General features: G+C 49.0%; 1 long non-coding RNA gene across 2 annotated transcripts, besides 1 other annotated feature; it reads right to left on the reverse strand.

The window, feature by feature from the left end:
• Positions 1-985: 985 nt before the first annotated feature.
• LOC100507403 (uncharacterized) lies at positions 986-5,553 on the reverse strand. 2 transcript variants are annotated; one of them, NR_188015.1, is made up of 4 exons: positions 5,389-5,553; positions 3,396-4,788; positions 2,330-2,454; positions 986-1,557 (listed from the first exon to the last, which is right to left on the reverse strand). It is a non-coding gene; the product is annotated as an uncharacterized LOC100507403 (long non-coding RNA). The 2 variants fall into 2 exon arrangements; NR_188014.1 differs by having other exon boundaries at positions 5,295-5,553.
• Positions 4,694-5,893: an enhancer, noted in NCBI's record as "CDK7 strongly-dependent group 2 enhancer chr8:37188590-37189789 (GRCh37/hg19 assembly coordinates)". NCBI's record gives its function as "activates an origin of replication core promoter dependent on BRD2, BRD4, P300/CBP, MED14 and CDK7 cofactors, with strong dependence on CDK7, by STARR-seq in HCT116 cells {active_cell/tissue: HCT116}" and the evidence as "EXISTENCE:reporter gene assay evidence [ECO:0000049][PMID:35650434]".

A 6,680-nucleotide genomic window follows, 5' to 3' on the forward strand; every position in this document is an offset into this window, starting at 1 on the left:
CTCTTCTCTCCCCAGCTTGTCTCACTTCCTTCCTTTCTCCTTGTTCCTTTTCTCCCTCCTGCCTGGTGTGCTCACGTCTTTTTTGGAAATGTCTTCTTTGTTCCTCTTCTCTGTTTCTCCCTCTTCTGCCTCCCTTCTTCTACTCCTTGTTAATCTCCCTTTGTATATGCAACCTTTATTTCCTTTTTTTTTTTTTCTATTTTTTCTTGCTGTCTCTCTCCTCTACCTATCCCCTGCCCTCCCCTCTCCTTCCCTTTCCTCTCCTCTCTCCTCTCTCCCTCATCCCTTCTGGTTTACCCATAGCCCCAATCTGCTAAGAATAATTTGCCCTCTACCCTGCAGATCCCCTTGGTATGGAAACAAAGAGAGGAGAGGGCACATTCCCCAGCAGTGGGAGCCTCAGCACTGGGGCCATGCTGGACCCCAGAGGGAGGCCAACCCTGGGGACAGGACAGGGCCTCTGGCTTATGACCACCTGACCCAGGCTGGGCTTCCTCCCAAACAGCCAGAGCAACTTGACATCCGAGTGCCAGGGCAGAACCACAGCCAATCCACAGAGCAAAGGAAAAGGCAGTGGGCACAGTTCCATGTTTATGAGTTGGTTCTTCTTCCCCAGGTCAAGGAAACTCCTTCCTCACTTAATGCTGTCAAGGGTTTAAGCTGAGGAAACTCCGGAAGGGCATTTTCAGTATTGGTACCTGCTCTCTGTGCGCATGACTGTGTATGGGAAGGTTGGTGAGGCAAGGAGCGTGTCTCTGTGTGTCAGAGCTCCCCTCATTTCACAGCTGTGCCAGGATTTTCAGCAAGAGCCTTGATATGAAAGACTAAATCTAAGAGGCTTCTCGTACACACCTTGTTCCATCTGTTTACAACTCAGCTCCCTCTGAAAGTTGAGATATAAGGAAATCCCCCTTCCTCATGCCCTCCGTTCCCTGAAGAACACCCTCCTTTTCCCTGAGTGATGAGATTCTTGTGAGACAATAGGTAAAGTGAAGATAAATCATTTTGATGATTTTCATTCAACGATCCCTGGATCAGGGTTAGGGGCTCATTCATAAGAGGACTAGCTTGGCTAATAGCTCATTTCTGATTTAACATCACATGAAGCACGGGGGTTATTGTTTACAATCTGAAATGCAATCTAAGTTTACACTGCAGTTAATCCAGTATTTTTAAATGCCAAACTACTGGTACCCAAGAAATCATCTAGACTCAGTCTTGCCAGGCAGCTGGAGCTTCAGACTTCTGGGACCCAAAGAGGCTTCGCTCAAGGTATAAGGAGTGGTTCACAAGAATGGCTTCCAGCTCCCAGCCCAGGGATAGCTTCAGATGATCTGGGCTGTCAGAGAGTGGGCTGTCCACACAGCAAGTCAGAGACCCTCACTGTGTTTGCCCTTCAAGGTTTGCAGAACCTCGCAGTACAACAGGAAGAGTCCGTCTGACTCAGAGCTGGGCATGAGCTGGAGGCATGGAGGGTGGTGGTCTCTCAGGAGGTACTGGAGTCCAACTGGTCCTTTTTCCCCAGAGCTCCCGTGGCAGTCCACTGCCAAGATCCTGCTAAAAGGAGAATGGCCCATGTTGAAGAAAACTGGGTGACCACATTCCAGGATAATTAATGAAGCCTAGTAAGAAAGAAACCAGCAATCAAGCCAGAAACAGAAAACGATCCCTCTCATGCCTCCTCCCTGAGCTATGACTTGCTGGGAAGGGAAAAGGACTATCTGGCTGGACAACCCTTAAATGGATGCGTCCTAATTAACGGAGGATTTAATTCATCAAAGTGACAGCGACTCTATTTATATAATCTCCTTCAACAGGGCTGAGGGTCGGGCTATGGGGTTTCTTACCTTTCCCTTTCCTTCTTCCTTCTTCTCTCTCTCTCTCCTCTCCCTGCCCGCTCCTCTCCTCCTGCCCCCTTAGCTTTTCTAATAGGGCCATGGCAAGATTTAAAGAGGAAGGTAATTTCAAGCACAGAATTGTTCCACCATCTCCCCAGAGTCTTCTTAATAGACCCCCTCAGCCCTCCAATTTGGCCTGGAAAACAGCACAGTCCTGTTCCAGAAGCAAGGATGACAGCAAGTGCTGCCCAGAAGCCTGGTGGGGGAAGGGAGAGGGCCTCCCTGCAGGCAGGAACGTGCATTACATACCACACCACATGCCACGCTGTCACAGATCAGACAGCGGCCCTGGCAGACTCTCAGAGAGCCCCTCATTTTACGGATGAGGACACTAAGCTGGGAAGAGAGGGAGTGCCATGCTCAAGGCTGCACACTGATCATGGAAGAGCAGGAACCAGGGCTCCCCCTCCTCCCCCAACTCTGCTTGCTACCTCCACAACTCCACGTGTGGCAGCTGCTGAGAACACTCCCCTGGTGAAACAGCTCCCCACCGTGCTGGCTCCTTCCTGTGGGTGGAGGCGTCCTCTTCTGTAATCATTTTTTATTAGGATTAACTCTGTGAATTGTCATTGTTAAAAATAGTTACCGTTTATGAAATACTTACCATGGGTGAAGCCCTGTGCTACGTGTTTTCCCTAAATTAATCTTGTCCACATTGTAAGGTGGGTACTACCTTCTCACTCATATTTTAAGATGAAGAAACAGCCTCAAAGAGATTAAATGACATGCCCAAACAGAAGGTGACTAACCGTTAAGCCCATTCTTCTAGCCACAAGCTATAATACCACTTTTAAATCGAAATGACTCCCAGAGGGCATTAAATTAAGCTCTTTACATTTTCCTGTGGATGAATGCAACTGGAACTTTGTGTTCAAAAAGACATTTCCCCAGCCCAGAGCTCCCTGCCACTGGAGGAAAAAGCAAAGTTTCCCCCTCGTCTCTGATTTGCCTGAGGCTCAAGTTCTGCTCCCCCAAAGTAGATTCCAGGGTAAGGGGGATCTCCTTGTAAGGCTGACATGTATCACATAGCCAAACTGCCAGGTAGTGGGCAGCAGCAGCTGTCCACAGGTCACCCCCAGAGTCCACAGAACCTTCTGGAAAACATCTACTTCCATCCCTTTTCTTACCCTCAATATAGAATTCCACCCAGGCTTGTCCCAGGCTTGTAAGGGCCCATGTTGTAGCTGAATTAATTGGGCCTATTAGAGTCCAGAAAAGAAAAATGAGTCCCGGTCCCTCCTACTCAGGCCATTAGTCACTCACGGCAGAATCCTAGGTCCAAAGAACAGTTCCCTTCCCAAGGAAGAAGAGAAAGTGGGGGTGGAGAGGGAGAACACAAAACAAAAACGCCAGGAGGCCCCTGGGCAAGGGAAGTCCCTTTCTTCTAAGTTGGGTCACAATCACACCCCATCCGTCAGCACCAGGATGAAAGGCCTATAAAACCAACACAGCACCTGAGACTGTATGAAAATATATATCCTGATGTGTCAGGAATACCTGGCGCGCCTTTAACCTCAACTTCAGATGAACCAACACGCCTCGGAGCACATTTATATGCAAAGGCATATAATATGTCCCCTGTATCTAATTATCTGTCAACCTGAGGCAGTTTGTTTTCCAAATCGGCCTCTCGGCTGTGACTTTACGAGGTCATAAAGAAAACGATGCCACTCTGCACTGAAACGCAAGGAGAGCCTGGATCAACAAATTATACTCCTTAATGGTGTCTCTTGGCCTGGAGAGTCAGGCCTGGCAGGGAGAAAGGAGGCACAGTCCCGCTTCCCTACACCCTGCCTTCTGCTGAAGAACAGAGAAAGGGGTGCATGAAGCATGAGGTAACCCTAAGAGGCCCCATAGCATCAGACGCAGGTCAAGTCTGAGTAGAAGTGACTTCCTTCTCCAGCTCAGCTTCCTCAGTTTTTCAGCTCTTTATGTGCAACGTCTGTCTGCAAAGTCTGGACACCTCCGGAGACACAACTGAGCTGGATGTCTCTGCAGTCTTCAATATCACCTCGGGCCTTCTTGAATTGTCCTGTGCCATGGAGCATCTTTTGCTCCTGGGACCCCAAGGATTTTTGGTTGCAGAGGGGAAAACTTTAATCCATTCCATGTGCAACAGCTTCTGCCTTCAGGCATCCAAACATCAAGATCCTATATTCCACAAAAAAGTTGGTTGCAACCGGGTGCGGGGGCTCATGCCTGTAATCCCAGCACTTTGAGAGGCCGAAGTGGGCAGATCACCAGAGGTCAGGAGTTTGAGACCAGCCCAGCCCACATAGTGAAACCCTGTCTCTAGTAAAAATACAAAAATTACCCAGGCGTGGTGGGTGGCACATGCCTGTAATCCCAGCTACTCGGGAGGCGGAGGCAGGAGAATCACTTGAAACCGGGAGGCAGAGGTTGCAGTGAGCCATGATCGCGCTGCTGCACTTCAACCAGGTGACAGAGTGAGATTCCGTCTCCAAAAAATATGTTGGCTGGAAGATATTTTATTCCACCGTTGTATCTGGGAGAAGAAGGCTTGGGTGACTCCCTGAAACTTCTAAGCAAGAGGAGAAAATGTATCCTCCCAAAGCAGGGAAGGTAGGTGGCAGCAACAGCAGCAGGAATGCTTTGTCGCTGGTGAGGCCATCTCTCTCCCGCCAAGCTCAGCACCACATGCGCGCACGCGCTCACACACACACACACACACACGTGCACACACAAAGGGAGAGGGCGGAGGGGTGGTCTCGCACACAGTCTTCAGCTCCTATTAGTCCTCCTCTGATCTTTAGCAGATTAATTAGGAAGTTTGTCAGGAACCAGCCGTGAACTCCAGCCGCTCCTCTCTGGGAGTGGTAACAGTGCCAGCGAAATCTAAGCTGCAGGAATTCCTCTAGCCACGCTGCTCCTATGATTAATGATAGAAAGGAATAAAAAAAAGAGGGGTCAACAGCTGAGTGCAAAGCAAGTTGCTAGACAGGGAGTAATTAAGATACTTGGGTAAATATGATTAATAAGCTCAAACTGGCAGGGTGTGCAGTAAACAAGGACTAACCAGATGGTCCCCTCTCTTAGGAGAAGGCTGGGCACTTAGAAACAAGGGGGAATGGGGGTGCGGGGGAGACTGAAGGAGGAGGGAAAGAAGGGCAGCTTGGAAGGTGTGATTGCAATGTTACTTTCTTTAGCTGACCCTATCTAGAGGAAAAGGTTGGGTCCCCCGGGAGGGATCAGGACAGGGAGGTTGCTTGGGTAGGTACTCTGCCGGCCCTCTTATCACAGGCAGCAGACACAAAGCTGGACATAGAAGGATTCCTGCTCAGACTCAAGGCCGCACTTCTAAAGCTGCTCTGGTCCTACTCCCTTCTCCCCCTACCCTTCTGCCACCCCTGATTCCCTGCTTTTTCCCTCATTTACCAGCAAGCTGCAGACAAGACATACAGTACACAGGTCAGTGTCACCAGATTCATTCACTTTGGCTGCAAAGCACCACGCACCCCAGACCAGGTACCTTCAACAACAGAACATGCTGTCTCACAGTTCTGGAGCCCAGAAGTTCAAGGTCAAGGTGTGGACAGGGTCAGTTCCCCCTGAACGCTGTAAGGGAGCATTTATTCGAGGCCTCTCCTCCAGCTTCACATGGGCTGCTGGCCACCTTTGGTGTCGCTTGGCTTGTAGACGCGTCGCCCAGATCTCTGCCGTCATCTTCTCATGGTGCTTTCCCTGTGGGTGTGTCTTTGTCCAACTTCTGCGTTTTCATAAGGACACTGGTCAAACTAGGTCAGGGCCAACCCTAATGACTTCATCTTAGCTAATTATAGCTTCAAGGACACTATTTCCAAATAAGGTCACATTCTGAGGTGCTGGCAGTTAGAACTTCAACATTTGAATTCGGGGTACACAATTCAATCTTTAGTAGCCATTTATAAGGTTTGAAAGCAAACCGGGTCCTACTCAGAACTGAATTGGGACCAAAAAAAAAACACAAAGCTGTCATAGCAATGTGGGAAGGAGGATGTGGCAAGGACCCCCATCTCTCAGCTCATTGCTAAAAATTATGCCTCTCCTAAGTCCTAAACAATACCTTAGAAAGTGCATCCTTTGGTGTGTGATGTCAAGGAGACACTTGACGCTTCCAGAGATGATGTTGAGAAAGAACCATGGTTGGGTGTCCCCTAAGATCCTAGTTAACAGGAAATATCTGCAGGCCCCAGAAAAGAAGACTCAAAAGATTTACCTTAAGTAAGTGGAGATGTGCTAATACATTTCATCTGCAGCTACGGGCGGCTCCACACTAAGGACAAGGCACTGCTGGGGAGACATAATTATATCCTGCTCTGAAGGAGCCTGCAGTCTGTATTCCTGCGTTAGTTCCCTGTGGCTGCTGTAACAGATGGCCACCAACTGGGTGTCTTAAAACCACAGACTTATTCTCTCACAGTTCTGGAGGTCAGAAGGCCAAAATCAGCATTGCTGGGATGAAATCAAGGTGTCAGTGGGACTGTGCTCTCTACAGAGGTGCCGGGGGAGTCTGGTAGCCCCTACATTCCTTGGCTTGTGGCCTCATCCCTCCAGTGTTCAAGGCCGGTATCTTCACATTCACATCTCATGCTCTGTCTTCACATTGCACTTCCTCTGTGTGAAAAGCTCCCTCCACCTCCCTTTTGTAAGGATACATATGATTTCATTTAGGGCCTGGCTGGATAATCCAAGACCATCTTTCCATCTCAACATCCTTAACTTAATCTCATCTGCAAAGACCATTTCTTCCCAACCTTCCATAATTCCCATAAAATTTTCTTC

The sequence above is a fragment of the Homo sapiens genome, chromosome 8 (assembly GCF_000001405.40).
Source record: "Homo sapiens chromosome 8, GRCh38.p14 Primary Assembly".
Classification (NCBI taxonomy): Eukaryota; Metazoa; Chordata; class Mammalia; order Primates; family Hominidae; genus Homo; species Homo sapiens.